The sequence below is a fragment of the Homo sapiens genome, chromosome 16 (genome assembly GCF_000001405.40).
Source record: "Homo sapiens chromosome 16, GRCh38.p14 Primary Assembly".
NCBI classification, from domain to species: domain Eukaryota; kingdom Metazoa; phylum Chordata; class Mammalia; order Primates; family Hominidae; genus Homo; species Homo sapiens.
The window spans coordinates 71,097,117-71,117,743 of NC_000016.10; the positions used below are offsets into that span (position 1 = coordinate 71,097,117).

General features: G+C 36.8%; 1 protein-coding gene across 4 annotated transcripts in view; it reads right to left on the reverse strand.

The window, feature by feature from the left end:
- HYDIN (HYDIN axonemal central pair apparatus protein) overlaps positions 1–20,627 on the reverse strand; it is a 428,639-nt gene that overhangs the window by 295,033 nt on the left and 112,979 nt on the right. For all 4 annotated transcript variants that reach the window (NM_001270974.2, NM_017558.5, NM_001198543.1 and 1 more), the window contains exon 10: positions 18,580–18,679. In NM_001270974.2, coding sequence (NP_001257903.1) covers positions 18,580–18,679 — 100 coding nt within the window. The remainder of the gene's footprint in view (positions 1–18,579; positions 18,680–20,627) is intronic.

The window sequence follows — 20,627 nt, forward strand, 5'->3', positions numbered from 1 at the left end:
ATCTTCTGGATCTCCAGTGGAAAACTGTTTGAAATTAAACCAATAACAACAATGATTCAAAGCTGAACTTCAGTCTCTTTGAGGACTGGCCCATTTCTAATTCACTGGGTCCTACTCTAAAGTCTGGGGGATTAGATTACTAGGGCCTTTCCTCCTGGGACATACCACGGACTTTTGTTTTCTTCTTTAACCTTACTTATCTTTTTGGCCTCTCTGCAGTTTTTACCAAAAAGGCAGTGTCTTTAAGGATAAAGTGGCCCCCAAAGTCTGACGGTCTTGATTTCCTTCTCTTGGATCTTGGCCCCATGTTCCAGTAGTTCTCTCTTGCCTTAAAAAACAGACTCTAAAAAATATTTTGCCTTGCTTTCCTAGGTGTTCTTAGAGAGAAAGAGTTAATTCACATTACTCAGCTTATCATTTATGAAACATTTCCAGAACAAAGGGATGCACATTTGACATTGTGACAGCTATAGCCATACTGCTCTCAAGAATGGTTGTGCTAATTCCACACAAACATCTGTAGTATTTACGGGTTCTTTCTCTCCACATTCTCCCCAGCAGTGGGGATATCACCACTTTGAAAATCTTTGATAGTTCAATGGTTTTCCTTAAATGTATACCATATAATTTCAAGTTCTCTAAGGAAAGAGGATATATTTGCTCTGTATGGACATTTTGAACGTTCAAAATACTTTTGATGCTTCGTTGATGTAGTTTTCAGTATTACAGAAAGTATGCTTAGAACAGCCAAGTGATATTTCTAATTCATTATCATCATTTTAACACCTTGTGACATTTTATGTTCCACTGTCTTCTGTTGCTGTTTAGCTTTTGTATCTTTAATGCTTTTTCCCCGTTAAATGTCCGTTAAAGACAGAATACTTGTCCTTTTGTTCTTTCTAGTGCTTGGCAACACAGTGGTCATTAGACAAGCATTACTTTGATTATAAGAAGCAAAGGCCATACTTAGGATGACTGATTTATTCAAAGGGTTCCCCTGCTCCATCCGATCCCTGGAAAAGAGGGTCCTCTAAAGATCAGGTGTTAGTTGTGGCAATACTCTAAACTATAGATAAAACTTTCTTTCTTTTTTTTTTTTTTTTGAGATGGAGTCTCGCTCTGTCACCCAGGCTGGAGTGCAGTGGTGCGATCTCGGCTCACTGCAAGCTCCGCCTCCCAGGTTCACGCCATTCTCCTGCCTCAGCCTCCTGAGTAGCTGGGACTACAGACGCCCGCCACCACGCCCGGCTAATATTTTTGTATTTTTAGTAGAAACGGGGCTTCACCGTGTTAGCCAGGATGGTCTCGATCTCCCAACCTCAAGATCCGCCCGCCTCAGCCTCCCAAAGTGCTGGGATTACAGGCGTGAGCCACCGCGCCCGGCCAATAAAACTTTCAAAGGGCCCAAACTGCATTACCCTACTCTATTATTTTTGAGGTCTAGACTATTGGGAATAATTTACACTCTTTGGTCAAGAGAAAAGTATTTTGATTGAGATCCAACTTTCAGAATGGCAAAGAAAGAGAATTGCAAATATATCATGGAATAAACTGCAGGACTATTTATAACTGTCAGGCCTAAAACTTTCTCCATCTGTTACCTTGACTGCCTTTCTTAAAAAAAAAAAAAAAAAAAAAAAGGAGATGTGTTGTAATAAAGCAGTGAGCCAATGTTTCTTTGGTAGTTATTAATTACTTCAAAGGAGTTTGTCTTATTTGTTGCTAGCCACTCCCCTCACCCAGAACAGGAGTACAAGTAATGCCCAGCCTTGAGTTTCTAAGTGTTAGTATAAATTTTAGGGTCACATTACAAATGCTACTTTTCCACAAGATTTTCTAAGCAGATATTTTTCTTGTCTTGGCAAAAGGCAGCAAGAGATACAAGCATGGAGGAACTAGTAAACTTTAAGGGCAGACTCCTTATTAAAAGACCAAAATATTTTAAAACATAGAGCAGTCCTCATCTATGACTGCAGTGTTCTGATTTCACACATGAGAAGTAGGGAGATGCACTACAGAACCCCTTTAATGACCCTGAAGTCCCCAGATGCAACAGATCCCATTGCATTATGTACCAGGAAATGCAAACCATGGGCTTTCAAAAACTTTCCATCTGCTATGGTCTGAATGTTAGCGTCCCCTGAACCCCAAATTCATATGTTGAAATCTTAACTCCCAAGATGATGGCATTAAGACGTGAGGCCTTTAGGAGGTGTTATGATCATGAGGGTGTAGCCCTTAAGAATGGGATTAGTGCCTTATAAAAGCTGCCTCAGCAAGCTCGTCTGCACCTTCCACCATCTGCTGGTGCCTTGATCTTGGATTCTCCAGCCTCCAGAATTGTGTTGGATAAATTTCTGTTTTTCATAAACCACCAAGTTTATGGCATTTTATTATAGCAGCCTGAACAGACTAAAATACCATCTAAGATATCCTAGATGTTCCATATTATACTTGAGTTCCATTCCTGTGCAGTAAGAAAAAATTCAGAGGAAAAAAGTATAAATAGAAGAATAAACAGACATTATTCACTCATATTAAGACTGTCAACCTGGAAAATAAAAAAGAATTTATAAATAAATTTTTAAAATTAATAAGAGAGGGACTGTGTATGATGGCTCATGCCTGTAATCCTAGTGCTTTGAGAGGACAAGGTAGGAGGAACAATTGAGGCCAGGAGTTCAAGATCAGCCTGGGCAACATAGCAAGACCTCGTCTCTACAACTTTTTAAAAAAGTTAGCCAGGCATCATGGAGTGAGCCTGTAGTCCCAGCTATTTGGGAGGCTGAGGCAAGAGGATCACTTGAGCCCAGGAGTTCAAGGCTGCAGTGAGCTATGATCACATCACTTGCACTCCAGCCTGGGCAACAGAGCAAGAAGTGGTCTCAAAAAATAAATAAAATAAAATAAACAAGAGAGTAAGATTCAGGATTAGCAAACATTTACGAAGGTCAACTGTATTTCTATATCCAGCAACAGTCAGAAAAATTTAGTTTTCAAGGTTCTATTTATAATAGCAACAAAAATATAAGGTACGTAAAAATAAATCAACAAAACATACTTGAAAACTTCAAAGCAAAAGTTGTAAAACTTTATGGGAAGACATTAACAAGGATTTAAATAAATGAATGAATAAATAGAGAACTAGACTATATTCTTGAAAAGGAAGATTCAATGTCATCGAGAGTGTCCATTTTCTCCCAACAGATTTATATCTATAAATTCAATGTACTGCTAAACAAAACGCCAGCAGGTAGAATTTGGTGGAGTGTGGTGGGTTGATTTTAAAATTTAAATGGAAAATCAAAGGGCCAATAAAAAGAAGACATGCCGAAGGAAAAACAAATTGGGAGAACTTGCCCTTTCATAAACTCAAATCTAGTGGAAAGCTACTGTAATTAACATAGTGTGGTACTGGGGCAGAAAGTGCAAAATGACAAAGGAAACAGAAGAGAAACTCAGAATAGATGCACAAATACATGTGAATTTGATTTATATCAGAGTAGGTGTTGAATATCAGTGAGGAAAGATGGCTACATAGTGTAGGGAGCTAAATCAGCTGATATCCACATGGGATCTGCGGTAGGCTGAATAATGCCCTCCAAAGATATTTACATTCTCACTCCTGAATCTAAATATTGCCTTATATGGCAAAAGGGTGAATGTTGCCTTATATGTCAAAAGAGGTAATTAAATTAATAATTTAGACATGGGGAGATTATCCTAGACTATCTTGGTGGGCCCTAATATAATCACAAATGTCCTTAAGAGGAAAGCAGAGGGAAGCTTGACACAGAAGATGAAAAGACAATGCAATGATGCAACCAGATTAGAGTGATGCAACCACAAGCCATGGAATGCTGGCAACTTTAAAAGCTGGAAAAAGTAAGGAACAAATTTTTCCCAGGAATCTCCAAAAGGAACCAGCCCTGTTGACACCTGATTTTAGCTCAGTGAAACTGATTTCAGACTTCTGAATTCCAGAACTGTAAGAGAATAAATGTGTGTTGTTTTAAGTCACTAAGTAACTCGTAACTTGTTTCAGCAGCAATAACAAACTGACACAGAGTCCCTCCCATCTACTCTACACAAAAGTCAACTCAAGTTGGATCAATGTGATGGTAAACTATGAAACTTTTTAGAAAGAAATATAGAATGATCTCTTTACCAACTTGGTGTAGAGAAAGGGATTTTAACAATAAAAGTGAGCAAATTATAAAATAAAAGATTATCAAATGCAATTACATTAAAACTCTTGTTCACTAAAATCACCTTAATGAGAGTGAACGGACAAGACACAAACTAGGAGAAGATATTTGCAGGACATATCAAGCCAGTTACATCCCAAATACATCAAAAGCCCCTATGAATCAACAATACAAAGACAACACAATAGAAAAATGGGCAAAGGCCAAATACGAATTTCACAGGAGATGAAACACAAATGGCCAGCCAATATAACATGCTATTTTCATTAACATAATGAAATTCATAATTGCAGAAATATTAATCAAAGCCACAGTGAGATTCCATTTCACAACTAGTGGAGGAGCAAAATTTTAAAAGTTGATCAATACTAAGAGAAGTCAAGGTTATGGAGTAAGGTTATAGGCACATCTCCTGCAGGTAGGAAAGTAGACTGGCACAACCCCTTTGGAGAAGTCTGATTACCTAGTAAACCTGAGTGTATACATCCTGTATGTCCTGGAGTTGCCACTCCTGGGGATATATCCTAGAAAAATTTGGCACCATGTACCTGAAAACATGTTCAAGACTGTTCATAAGAGCATTATTCTCAATAGCATAACAGCATTAAGTTAGAAACAACACAAATGTCCAACTGGATAGGAATTTTTATATATTCAAATAATAGAATATTAACTGTTAAACTAGAGTCTCATGCATGACATGAGTGAATCTCAGCAAAACAAATATAGTATCATAATATTTATGTAAAGTTTGAAATATGCAAAAATAAGTTATATATTGTTATGGGTTATACCCACATATGGCTAAAAAGCAGTATGAAGAAAACCAAGGAAATGATTAACTGACTACACAAAATTTTAAATGGATAGTTACCTCTCTGCAGGAAACAGAAGGACACAGATATTCTAAAATATGGTAGAGTCCCATTTCTTAACGTGGGTGACAGGTTCACAGTTGTTTATCTTACTATTATTCCTTATATCTTAACTATATAATACAAATATTATTTTGTGTAATTTCAATATAAATTTTAAAAACACAAAACTTGCTGAAATGTTAACTAATACATTTTGTTGTGTGTTTGTGTGCACAAAATTGTTTATTATATGGGTATTTCTTGGAACCCCAAAGCTCATTATCAGAATTTTCACATTTAATAATAATATGATGTAAGTTGTTTTACCTAAATTCATTATCTAAATGAAAACAATATTATAAGTATGATATGAATGTATGCATGTGCCAGCAAAAACATTTATGTTTGCTTGAGTTTCAGCAGTAAAATGTATTGTGTGTTACAGCCCGACCTTCAGCTGTTCTGACAAGACAGATTTGTTTCGTGCTTTCCTCTTTAAAATGTGTTATGCATTATCAGCTCATCTTCCCACAATTTCCCTGATGGTTTAGTCTTTCATGGGTCCTAGAATTTGTTTCTGCCAGGTACTGAGGGCAACTACCAACCAGGGAATAATTTAGACAAAATCTTTAGATCCTAGACTTTTAGAATCTTTAATACTTATTTTATTGTTTGTATTACAGTTCATGTTTACAGCTGTGCAGAAAGAAAATGTAATTCATGTCTAAAATTGTACAGTATCTTTACATGCTACAAACCAATACACCCATTTATATACTTACTTATTTAAGCATTATAGAGGTAATTTGAATATATTAAATGCCTTGTGTTATACAGGAATCTTTGATGAGTTGTTATATAGGTGTTTTAAAATGTTTTAGAAAAACTGGATAGAGTTTCTGGATGGGCTGGGAACCTGACTGTTTCTGAGAGTTACAAGAATGGAATATGGGTTGCACTATTTCAGCGGAACCATGTCTTTATGGGGTAGTGTGGTACAGGACAGGGACCAGGACTGTCACAACCTAGAATTCAAATCTTGGATTAAGAAGCCCCACAGATAAACTCACCTAAATTCTCTAAGCTTTAGCCTTCTCATCTGTAAAATAAAGATAATAATTCCAGCCTACCTTACTGAATTATTGAGACACAAATAAGATTAATCTGCAAGTGTCTTTGTGTTTATATACAAATGCGTTCATATACTATAATGTGAACATAAAATTATTATGTAAATTTGATTTATGAGAGAGCTGATGTTGAATATCAGTGAGAAAAGATGGATCATTTAGTGTAAAGAGCTAAAACAGCTGGAAATCCACATGAGATCTATGGCAGGCTGAATAATGGCCCCCAAAGATATTCACATCCTCATTCCTGAATCTGTAAATATTACCTTATAAGTCAAAAGATGTGATTAAGAGTTTTGAAATGGGGAGATTATCCTGGATTATCTTGATTATGGTAGCTTAAAAATCATCTTGAACTCTGGTAGTAGGAGTCCTTTCATTTTATTCTTCTTTTCCAAAGTTGTTTCAGCTATTCTAGGTTGTTTGCATTTCCATGTGAATTTTAGAATCAGCTTGTCAATTTCTACAAAAAAACCATCTTGGATTTTAATTTTGATTTCAATTAAATCTATAGATGAATTTGGGGGAGAAATGGCATTAAGATGTCATTAAGATATTATTGAATAGCCATATTGAATTTACCAATCTATGAACAAGCTATATTTTTCTATTTGTTTAGGTCTTTAATTTCTCTCATTAATCTTTCATAGTTTTCAGTATATGGGTCTTGTATACATTTTGTCAAATTTATCTCTAATTATTTTATATTTCTCAATGTTATTGTAAGTGATACTACCTTTTAAAATTTCAGTCCTCTGTATAGATCTCATATCCTGCAACCTTGTACTAGTTAACTACACTTACTTTGTAGGCTTTGTTTAAAATGAATATTCTCCAGCATCGTCTCCACAGATTTTGATTCAATAAAACATATATAAAACCCAAGAATCTACATTCTTAATGAGTAGCCAGGGGGATTCTGATACAGATTCTCTAAGGACATTACTTTGAGAAAGATATGAAAATTAATAACATTAACTTCTGATGGTATGTCCAAGTTAACTGATGCAGTCCATTCTTCCACCCAAAATACAAAAAAAAATAGAATTGATTAAAAACATGGCAAATAAATATTTTTAATGCTTTTCCAGGTTCAAAATAAAGGAAAGAAAATAACAGGTTCTAGAAATAAAAAGGGAACTCAGCTAGCATAGTAAACTAGTGAGATGACCCAAAGAAGGCCCAGAGATGTGTAGAGTAGATACAGAACTTATGGTTTAGTGGGTCCAGTTATACCCTCACAGAGAGAGGACACAGCCTTGTTCCCATCTGGGAATGGAGAATTAAACTAAGATTCTAGCATAAATCCAGGACCGTAGAAAGACTACCTCTTTTCACAAAGGCAACTAGAATAATTCTACTCATTGGTCTAGGGAAGCAGTGATGAAGCCTGTCTTCTACTTAGAATTCTGAATAGGAGGGAGAGCCTCCTATGATAAATCAAAATCCCATGTTCACATATGAGATCGAAATTTAGACTATCTGATAGGTGCGAGAATCAGAAGCTGAGAAAATAAAAAATCACAGGACCCTTGGCAGAAGAAATAAAAATCTGCTCTGAGGGAATAGTTTCATAACTCGGTACCCAAGCTAAAATTGAGTTCATAATACAAACATTTCAAGCCATCTGAAGAAACAATCTAGTAGGAGGAAAATCAGTGATTACTACAAACATGTGAGCTGGTATCCTAAGAGTTTGAGGTAATAAAAAAAAGTCTCATATAGCATTCTTAAAATCTTTGAAGAGATAAATGAAGAAATAGAAAGCATAATGAAGGAATAAAATATGAAAATATTCAAACTATATATAACTTCTAAAAATAAAAAGCCAAGTCAATGAATTAAAAACTGAACAGATGAATACACTGAAGAGTAGATATAGCTGAAGAAAGAATTAGTCAACTAGAAGAAAGATCTTAGAAAAATACCCAGAATACATCATAGTGAGACCAGAAATGTGCAGAGACATTTAAGAGACATGGTAATTCCACAGGAAACACATATATCTAAAAAAAAAAATTCCAAAAGGAGAAATTTGAGATAAGAGGAAAACAACATTGGAGAGATGCTGAGTAACCAATATGTAGCATATTACTTACTTATTACTCTGAAAACTCAAAAGTGTTTTCAATGATTGGGGTGATTTTCTTTTTAATAAATCTAATTCAATCTCCATTCTTTAATTCAATTAAGATAAAAATCAGAAGCCCTGAATTGTCTTTAAAATTCAAAATTTTCCCTTTTATGACTCACAGAAAGCAAATGGACAATGAGGTTTCATCTTAATTGGGTCTCTGAAGGAAGTGGGAGCATCTGGAATCATTTCCACCATGCTGCTTTTCTGCATTTGACTCCGTTACCTAGCAATGCATTTCACAATGTTACCTAGCAATGCATTTCACAGTTTAAATTAGAGAGTATTACTTCTTTTTGAAGTTCCCATATGCTGATCCAAACCAAATATATGTAGCTTCCCTTTGCATTTTTTTAAAAAGGTAATCTTCCTGATAAAGTTAGGTATTTCCACATTCCATTAGAAAGTCAAAATAGATGAAAGATCAGTTTCAAGAGCCAGATCAAACCATCAGCAAGTCTTTATAAATATCTAGCATACAGATTTAACTATTTCTAAGAAAACAGAATGACTTAAAATGCAGAAAAATTATTCAGTTTCAGATTAATGGAAAGGCTTTTCATGATGTTATATTTGCCATAACATGCTTAGGGTGCTTCAGTGACTGCCAGCTGTACTCAGCAGAAAGTCCAATGTCCTTAGGCTGGCATCCAAGGGCAGCCCTTTATGAATGGATCCTACCTACTACTCTAGCTTTCAGCTTCATTTTCCTTCCCTCCCTCCCTCTCTCTCTCTCTCTCTCTCAATCTCCATAGCAGTCACACACTAAGAACTTGCAATTCTTTGCCACTTCATGTTCTTGCTATGTATTTTCACATAATGCTTCTTCATGTATTTTCACAAAGTATTTCCCTGACTTGCATGCCCAGCCTTTGTTTATGTTTTTACGTGCTTCACAAATACTTCAAGGGTCACTTTCTCTGGAAAGCTTTCCTTGACATCCCAAGCCTGAGCTGTGTACCTTGTATCCGCTTCTATAATAATAATCAACTTCTATAGTAGCAGTGCACTATAACTGTTGGCTATGTGTCAGTTTCCTCCACTGAATTCTATGCTTTCTCAGGGCAGGAACTATGCTTTTGTACCTCTTTCTACTCATGGTGCCTAGATATCAAAAGCTTTCAAAAGAAAAGAGGATTGCAGTTGGAGACGTGGGTTAAATCTCATGCATCCTCAGAGGCCTCCCTTATGACCAGTAGCCTTCCCTGTTTTTTCCTGTCTCTGAACATATATTTACATAATGGAACACTGTACAACAATGAAAATGAAATACAACTAGAGCAAAAGTAGCAACATAGATGAGACATGTAGGCTCATTTCAGATATGTACATTTCAAAACAGGCATTACTAAATTGTATTGTTTAGAGATACATACATTGGGTAAAAACTATACATGAAAGCAATTGCAACAAAAGCAAAAATTGACAAATGATATCTAATTAAGACTTGGAACCAACCCAAATGTCCAACAATGATAGACTGGATTAAGAAAATGTGGCACATATACACTACGGAATACTATGCAGCCATAAAAAATGATGAGTTCATGTCCTTTGTAGGGACATGGATGAAGCTGGAAACCATCATTCTCAGCAAACTATCACAAGGACAAAAAACCAAACACCGCATGTTCTCACTCATAGGTGGGAATTGAACAATGAGAACACATGGACACAGGAAGGAGAACATCACACACTGGGGCCTGTTGTGGGGTGGGGGGAGGGAAAGCATTAGGAGATATACCTAATGTTAAATGACGAGTTAATGGGTGCAGCCCACCAACATGGCACATGTATACATATGTAACAAACCTGCACGTTGTGCACATGTACCCTAGCACTTAAAGCATAATAAAAAACAAGTAAAATTAAATTAAAAAAAAAAAAGCTTAAGAGCTTCTGCACAGCAAAAGAAACTATGGGCAGACTAAAGAGGGAAAACCCAAAGAATGGGAAAAAATATTTGCAAACTATGCATCTGACAAAGATTTAAAATCCAGCATCTATAAGGAACTTAAACCAATTTATAAGAAAAAAACAAACAATCCTATTAAAAAGTCGGCAAAAAAATGAACAAATACTTTTCAAAAGAAGACATATATGTGGCCTACAAGCATATGAAAAAAAGCTCAATATCACTGATCATTAGAGAAATGGAAGTCAAAACCACAATGAGATATCATCTCATATAGTCAGAAAGGCTATTACTAAAAAGTCAAAAAATAACAGATGCTGGTGAGGTTGTAAAGAAAAGGGAACACTTATACACTGTTGGTGGGAGTGTAAATTAGTTCAACCATTATGGAAAGCAGTGTGGTGATTCTTCAAAAAACAAAAAATAGAACTACCATTTGACCCAGCAATACCATTACTGGGTATAAACCCAAAAGGATATAAATTGTTCTACCATGAAAACATGCATGTATATGTTCATTGCAGCACTAGTCACAATAGCAAAGACGGAATCAACTTAAAAGCCCATCAATGGTAGACTGGATAAAGAAAATGTGATACATATACACTACAAAATACTACGCAGCCATAAAAAAGAATGAGATCATGTCCTCTGCAGGAATGTGGATGAAGCTGGAGGCCATCATCCCTAGCAAACTAATGCAGAAACAGAAAAACAAAATACTGCATATTCTCACTTATAAGTGGGAGCTAAATGATGAGAACACACGGACACAAAGAGGGGAACAACAGACACTGGGGCCTAGTGGAGGGCGGAGGGTGAGAGGAGGAAGAGGATCAGGAAAAATAACTATTGGGTACTAGGCTTAGAACCTGTGTGACAAAAATCTGTACAACAAAAACAAAACTGCACACGTACCCCTGAACCTAAAAGTTAATTTTTTGTTTAAATCTTAAGCAAAAGAACAAAAACAAAAAACAACAACAAAAAAAGCAAGGATATGATGGTCATCAAGAACAGAATGGTGGTGATTCCAGGGGAGGCTGCAGTGAGAGGAGTATGATTGGGAAGGAACACACTGAGGCTTCTAGGGGCTGAAAATATTCTATTATTGATCTTGGTGGCAATAACATAGTGCTTGCCTTATAATTATTTGTTATAATGTACCGGTATGTGTATAAGTTTCCAATCGTTGCTACAAGAAACTGTCACAAACTTAGTGGCTTACTGCACAAATGTATTATCTGAAAGTTCTGGACGTCAAAAGTCCAAAGTGATCTGATCGCTGTATATTATGCATATTGAAACATCACTATGTACCCCATGAATATGTATGGTTATTATTTGTCAATTAAAAAAAAATTTTTAAGATGAAAATACACAACTAGAAACAAAGTCCAACATGGGTCTCACTGGGCTAAAATCAACATATTCCCAGGGCTGCATTCCTTCCTGGAGACCCTGGGGTAGGGGGAATTCATTTTCTTGCATTTTCCAGTTTCTGGAGGCTCCCTGAATTCCTTACCTTGTCCATCTTTACTGCCTGGGAATGACTGGTTGAGACTTTCTCATATCACAGACCTCTGACACTGAGACCAATCCTTCTGCCTACTTCTTGGGCATTTATGGACCCTTGTGATTATACTGAGCCACCAACATGATGCAGGATAGTCTCCCTATCTTAAAGTCAGCTCATTAGTAACTTTAATTCCATCTGCTGCCTTGATTCATCTTTGCCATTTAATGTAACATGTCCCCAGATTCTGGGGGTCAGGACCTGGACATCTTTGGGAGGCCACTTCTGTGCTTACCACTAAATGTATTATGTAATTTCTGAATCTGCATTCTATTCAATAATGACACAAGGTTAAAAATTAAATTGCAGTATGTAAATGCAAAGGGTTCCTATGCAATCATGAAAAGAATGACATCTTTTATTTAGTATTGTATATAATCCCTGGGAAATATTTTAAAAGCAATGTTAAAACCATTATGTAAAGTATACTGTCGTTTACGCAAAACGACATGAGGAGGAAAGAATTATTTATACGTATTTGCTTCTACATGCCACGTTTATCTTAAAGCAAAGGAAAACAAAACAAAACAAGGGAAGGAGATTTTTTATCTGTCTAACAAGTATTTCTTAGTGACCTAAGACCAAGAGGTTTTACCAACTCATTGAAGATAATAGTAAGGAATCATCAGCAGCTCTTGAAAAGACACAGAGAATTGCACAGAATTTACAGGGAAGATAATATGGAATTACTATGTAAGCAAAGCTCTTCCCTGGCAAGCATATCTTTTAATAATCCACTAACAAAATACAGAAGAATGTCATGCAGATGGAAAATTATACTATTCGGCTTACCCAGGATGTGAATTCTGTGGGAGAATTCAGAATTACAAACAAAACAATAGGGAAATCTCACTTGTTGTGTAATGGTTGGGAACCTCCTGGAGAGTAGCCAACCCCTTGGAATAAGGCCAAGCACAATGTCCACAGGGAGTTGCAGATGGGAGGGAGGTCCCACCACCTGTGGCACAGGGGCCACTGGAGCATTTCCAGCCCATGTCTGACACTGCTGTGCTAACATTTCCTCTAGACCTATTAGGTTGTCCATTGTAGGTGATGCTCGTCTGCAGGATGGAGACAGACCTATGTCAATCCAAAAACTCCTAGTCCATTCTGCATTCATTCTGGGGACGTCTGGAGAATTCTGCATTCACATGCAAGGGAGAGGTCAAATCAAAACAGGATTCACTTAGTCATTTTTTTCCAGTTATTTGCTTATTCATTTAATCAACATTTATTGAGTAGCTTTATTTTCTTGGTGCTAGCAGCATAAGATATACAGGATGAGTCCTGTATGTATGTGTGTATATATATATTATATTATATATAATTATGATATACATAATATATAATAGATATAATAAATATAATAAATATATAAAAATTTATATCTAAATAAGTTATATATTTATAGATATTTTATATATATTTATATATAAAATAAAATACATATATTTTATATATATATTTATATATAATATATTTATATATAATTATAAATATATAAATAATATAATATATAAATATATATAAACATATATAAATATATATAATATATATATTTCATATATATATATCAATATATCAATTTCCAAAACAGGCAAAACTATACTATTTTGCTTAGGGATGAATATGTAGGTGGCAAAATTATACATGAAAGCAAGGAAACAACTATCATAAAAGTCAAGGTGATGGTTTTATCGAGGGAAGGTGAGGGAAACTTCATTGGGAGAAAACACACACCTGGGGGAGGTGCAGGGTAGCACAGGCTTGGGTCAGGGAGCCCATACTTCTGCACATTCCTAGACTGCCTGAGCCTCTTTTACACAGAAAAAAGTGACTGCATAGATATGGACCGAAAACAGCACGGTGTGGCAGAATAGGGGAATTGCTGCACTTGAAGGATGCAAATGATGTGCATTCTTGCTGACAGTGCACTCTTATACTCTCCCCCCAGGTTTAAAACAAACACAGCAGCCATACTTTCCTGGGAAACCTAGATATAAAACAGCAGAGGTAAGCAGCACTAGCTACCATCAACGTGAAAGCCATTTTCTCATTCTTACATACGAATGAATGACCATGGACCAGAAGGCATTGGAAGGAACCCCATGAATGCATGAAAGACAAACAGCTGAACATTATGGGCAATTCAGAGAACATAAGATTTATTTTTTAAGAAACGAAAGTTCAAATGATTATCCCCAGATCAATGAGAAGAAGTTGCATCCATAAACAAACACTTAGTTATGAAACAGGAATAGAGGACAAAAGAGGTCTTGAAAATTAAAAATATTATTGCAGAAATGAAAGATCGCTAGGAAGTATTCAGAAAAAAACTGAGCTGAGTCTCTTGCAAAGCAATTGGCAAATGCTAAAGTTCAGTGCTTCACCTTGACCACAAAGAAGAAAACTTTCCAAGTTTTTGAGTAACACCTGCTTGTACCTCTGCAAGAAAGTTCCAAAATGGAAGATGCCCGGAAACCACTGTGGCAAAATGCTTTCTTGAACCTGTTCAAGACAGCCAAGGAAAGTCTCAACTGCAAAGGGAAACAATTTGAGTCAGAGTAACTTGGGTTTGTTGTTGTTATCTGTATAAAAGGGAAAATTGCCATTTGAATAACTGAATAGCAGTAATGTACCAAGCGGACTATTTAAGTTCAGGGCGGTGGCTCTGCACATCAGGAATGATGCCACAGGTGCTGGCCACAGGTCTGCTGGTGGCTGCGGAGAGCTACAGCTATGCAGCACACTCCTGCCGTCTTTCCTGATTCATGAACATCAGTATTTCTCTAGGCATAGACTTGAATTAAATTTAGTGTCATTTCTTAGTAGTGTTTGATGATTAAAATCTTGTTCTTTGACAACAAATGATCAATCTTCCAGGTCTAACATTGGATTCACAGGTTTTCCAGACAAATAAAATGAAAAAAAATGGAGGAAAGAATATCAAAGACACAATAAAATTTCTTAGAGCTGAAGTGATGTGAGTCATCAGATTCAAATGGCCCACAGAAGGCTGAGGAGGATGAATAAGAAAAACCCACTCCTGGACATGACTTCATCACATTTCAGACCCCAAATATGAAAAGAAGGCCCCCAAAACATCCAGAGAAAAAGAAGAGGCTGCCTATAAAGGAATGGACATTAGATGACCTCAGGCTTTGGAATTTTTTACAATCAAGTAGTCACAAAGTCTCCAGTGTTCTGAGGAGAAATGATTTTGAACCTGGGATCCTATAGTCAGCTAAACTGTCAAGTGAGTATGAAGGCAAAATAAGGTATTTTCGGGCATTCAAGGATCAAAGTTTCCACTTCCATATATTTACATACACACATTATATACATCATTTCTAAGGAAGTTACTTGAGCAGACTGAGAATGAAAAGGTGTGACTGAACATAGAAATATTTTTTAAAATTCCTGGATAACAACTGTTCATTCAGGAGGTGACTGATCTGAATTAAAATAAGAAGCTGATAGGCTCTGATCAGTATCTTCAAAGAGAAAAAGAGAATGAATTATAAAATTAGATAGGAGTGAAGAAATAAGGAATTAGAAACCACAGGGGGGAAATCAAAAGCTGTACAAAAGAGTCAGTTAAGAAGTAAACTAAAATGAGGCATAGTTGTGAGTAACTGATAAATTGGTAAAGAAAGAATATACTTGATATGGACCTTAGGGACATTCTTTGAGTGACTAGGAACCAGAGCACTGAACAAACAGGATAAAATGTAATCCCAGAACCTATTTGGCTCTGCAGTGTATAATATTTATGTAAGAAGAAGACTTAACAGTGGTTATCAATAATGATTATGTAAAAATGGAATAGCTCACAGAGGTTAGAGGGAGAAGGCTAGTGGACTAGTCGGGGATAACCTAGTTATAGGCACCAAAATCCTTACACATCAAGAGATAATGTAAAGTTGATGGAACAAAAAATACAGGCTTAAGTGTATTATTTAAGGCTATAAATAAACCTCATAAGATAAAATAAAACAATTGGGTTGTCAGGGGCTGAGGCTGGGGGACAGGATTGTCTGCAAAGAAGCATAGGGAACTTTATGGGGTGATCTCAGATACACATTTCCACATCTTGATTTTGGTGGTTATATGACTATTTAGGTTTGTCAAAATTCACAGAACCATGCTCCAAACAATGATGAATTTCACTGCATGTAAATCCTAACTCAGTAAACTTAGGAAGGGGAAAAACCTAGGAACCGAAAAGTGAACTAAACCCTCATCTTTCATACTGGGGCGTCAAAAGAAAATGTACGAAGTTAATAAATCCACCAAAAGCAACATAAGCATAGAGCTGGCAAGGGAAACCACCATCACAAGAAACAGCCAAAAGAAGTTTTTGGAAGTAGCAGTGGTGACACAGACTAACATTTAGCTTCATAATTTTACTATCTACATGTTTTACTTATTTATTGGCATTGGCATTTAAACACAATTCTGAAACATTTTTAAAATGCAGAAAGGTTTCCAGAGTAATACAAGAACTTCTATTAAATATCTATCCCATGCCCAATAATGTCCTTTATAGCAAAGGGCCCAATCCAGGATCACATTCTGCACCCAATTACCATGTCTCTCTAGTCTCCTTCAACCTGGAACAGTTCTTCGGGATTTCTTGACTTTCATGATCTTGATTTTTTTTTTTTTTTTTTTTGAGACAGGGTCTCACTCTGTCACCCAGGCTGGTGTCCCGTGGTGCAATCACAGCTCACTGCAGCCTCAAACTTCTGGGCTTAAGTGATCCTCCCACTTTGGCCTACTGAGTAGCTAGGACTACAGGCATGTACCACCACACTTGATTAAGTTTTTAATTTTTTGTAGAGATGGGGTCTCACTATGTTTCCCAGGACCATCTTGAATTCCTGGACTCAAGAAATCCTCTCACGTCAGCCTCCCAAAGTGCTGGGATTATAGCCGGAAGTCACCGTGCCCGGCCGTCATGACCTTGATATTTTTAAAGATTACAGGCTGGTCATTTTATTTTGTTCTTCAATTTGGGATTGCCTGATGTTTCCTCCTGATTAGATCCAATTTAGGTATCTTGGCCCTGATATCATAGAAGGGATGCTGTGTTCTCACTGCATCCTGGCATGTGATCTGAGAGGTTGATTTGCTGTATTATTACTGGGATAAACCAAGATAGCATCTCCCAGGCTTCTTCACTGCAAAGTTAGTTTTCTCCCCTTCATAAAAAGTATTTTGAGGAAAGATGTTTTGAGACTATTCCATGTCCTACTTTCACCCATTTTCTTAAGATCCACTGACGCTTTTACCTGAATTGGTTATTGCAATGATGATTGCCAAGTAGTACATTAAATGGATTCACAGATTCCTATTTATTCAATGGATTATAATAATCTATTAGTATCATTATTTTGATTCTTGACTCATTCCAAATGTGGTCAGTGGGAGTTTCTTTGCTGTCTTCTGTGTCATTTCGACATGTGCCTATCATTCTTTGAGCATTTCCTTACCGTCTAGCAAAGGAGATAATCCAGGCTCATCTTATTCTTTCCCTACCTTGGTCCTGAAGTTAAGCAGTTCCTTTCACTAAAGAGTGGCATTTAGAAACCAAGCTTTGGGTGATTGGTGTGCTCACTGCTATAGAGTCTCAAAGCTTCCAGGACTTCTCAATGGACCTAGCTAGGAAATACACACATGCATGTACACATGCATATACACACATTTACATGTATATTTATTTTTATATCTATCTATACATGTCAGTGTGAACTCAACAACTCTGAGTTCACATTGACAACTCTAATTCCATTCCAATTTCAAAGGGTTTGGCTTCACCCTATTTTCCATGTTTGTATCTCCTTCCTCCAAGAGTGAGAAATACTGGTTCCCATCATCCTCAATGTATTTACTTTTCTGCTTAATTCCCTGTATGTATCAAATCTCCTGATGTCATCATCAGGTTGCCATCCCACCTGTGCACCCTCCTGGTTGCTCTGGCCTCTGCCAAGCTGCCTTCCCATCCCACTTGGAATTATTTTGGTAAAACTTAAAAAGAAAAAAAATTAGTAACCAAATACTATAAAAGGAACAAAAAAGGAGATTGTGGGAATTGGTCATAAGCAATATTTTTACTGCTCTAAGAGCCATGGTCCCTGATATGGTTAGGTTTTGTGTCCCCACTCAAATCTCATCTTGAATTATAATTCCCATAATTCCCACGTGTCAAGGGAAAGACTATGTGGAGGTAACTGAATCATGGGGGCAGTTTCCCCCTTGTTGTTTTTGTGATAGTGAGTGAGTTCTCACGAGATCTGATGGTTTTATAAGGGGCTCTTTCCTCCTTTACTCGGCACTTCTCCCTCCTGCTGCCTTGTGAAGAAGGTGCCTTGCTTCCTCTTTGCCTTTCACCATGATTGTAAGTTTCCTGAGGTCTCCCCAGTCGTGCTGATCTGTGAGTCAATTAAACCTCTTTCCTTTATCAATTACCCAATCTCGGGCAGTTATTATTAGCAGTATGAAAATGGACTAATACAGTTTCCATTTCCTCCACATGCCACCATAATTGTAAAGCACTTTAAAGTTTGATCTGTTATAGGAAGAAGTGAGAGGGGCATAGCTTGGCTCCATAATTCCCCTAATCAATATAATCAATATCATGTACCGCCCATGGCATGATCCCACATGCACATGTGCACACACACACACACTCAGGCACCACACTTCATGCTCTGGGTGCCTGGTAACCTGAGTTTACCACTTGGAGGAGGTCACTACCTAAAATGTCGCAGTAAATGGTCTGTTGATAGAGCTTGGCTTCTAGTGGGTTAAAGTACACGGTGATTTCAGCTGATGAGTTGGGCCAGACATCACCTTCCTGAAAAACATGAAAGAATCATTAAAAAACAATATGACAAAAGAAAGACACTGCTTGTAAGTGTTATTACATTAAAACTCCAATAAATTTTTTTTTCATAAAATTGTATATGTTTAAGGTATACAACATGTTTTGATATATATTTGTATAGTGAAATGATTACTGCAGTCAAGGAAATCAACACATCTATCTCCTCACATAGTTAACTTGTGTGTGCGTGGTGAGAGGACCTGGTCTGTCTACTCTCTTAGCAAGTACCCAACATATCATACATTATTATTAACTATAGTCACCATGCACTACATTAGGTCTCCAGAACTTATAACTACAAGTTTGTACCCTTTGACCAACATCTCCCCATTTCCGCCCCCAATCCCACCCTCTGATGCCTGGTAACCACCAATCTCTTACCAAACTGTTTCTATGAGTTAGACCTTTTTTTTTTTTTTTTTTTTTTAAGATTTCACACACATATGAGTGAGATCATGTGGTATTTGTCTTTCTGTGTCTGGCTTATTTCACTTAGCACAATGTCTCCAGATTCATCCATGTTGTCACAAGTGGCAGGAACTCTTTCTTAGTAAGAGTGAATAATATTCCATTGTATGTACACACTTCTTTTTTCATTCTTCTGTCGCTGGACACTTCGGTTGCTTCCACAGCTTGGCCATTGTGAATAATGCTGCAATGAACATGGGGGTGCAGAGCTCTCTTCGAGATCCTGATTTCATTTCCTTTGGGGATATACCCAGATGAGGGATTGTGGGATCACATGACAGTTCTATTTATGATTTTTTGAGGAATCTCTATACTGTTTTCCATAATGTCCGTACCAATCTACAGTCCCACCAACAGTGTACAAGGGTTCAATTCCAGGAAACTTAAAGACAACATTTTTCTAATAAGTACAAGAAAGCATTCTTTCACCAGCAGATAGTAAATGTATACTTCTTGATAACTTATGAGGTGGTACAAGTTGGAAACAAACTTCAAAGATAACTTCAGTGAATTTATGAACATATAATGAGTTACTAAAGGAAACTAGGGTGTATAAGACATTTTAAAATGAAATGTATATTCAGTGGCTATTCACTGTTTGCCCAATGTGTTCCCAGTACCGGGGCTTCAGAGAAGCAGAAAGGTGTGGGCTGTGACTGCAGGGAACTCATACCTTAGTGGGATGATAAACATGTATACAAACATTTAACAGTATATGAGGTAAGTGCTGTGTCTATAAAAATACAGCCCAGAGGGGTCACAGAGGAAGAAGTACTTGACTTCCTTGCTGGAGGCACCACGTTTTTAACTTTTGAGGTGACAGCATAAGGAAACACTCTTACTCTACAAAAACATAGCAATGGCCCAAGGTAGAACAATAGCTTGGTCAAACCCTGCTTCTACTCCAGTGTGGCATTTCTCCCTTTAATTGGAACTACCAAAAAGTCATAATCAGGAAACCAAGTTTTAAAATGGTAATGCAAAATGCAATGTATCAGAATCTCCTTGTTAGGTATACTTTGATTAGTATTTTTAACTATGTAATCTGCGGCCTCTTCATTAGCTTCTCAAGGCTGTAAAAAGAGATGCTGATAGCACTTGCCTCAAAGGGGTTCCTAAGGTCTGACAAAGTCATGCAGGTCAAACACTTTGCCCCATGCTCAGTCAGAACTCAGTAAATAACTGACTACTATGATCGATGTTATTTTTGTGCTACTTAGAAGGACTAAGATGAAAGTATTGAAAAGGGGAAAAGATGTGTGTGTTTTTTGTATGATTTTTGTAAATAGGGCCAAGTGAGCATAAACGATCAACACATCCAGAAATCTATAAACAGTCCCGCCAGCTAAATAGAAAACTAAGGAAAGACAACTTGATAAATAATTAGGCTCCAGCTCCAGACAGTCCCTGGTGCATTCTCTATTTGCAGTCTGGCTAGAAAGAACATACT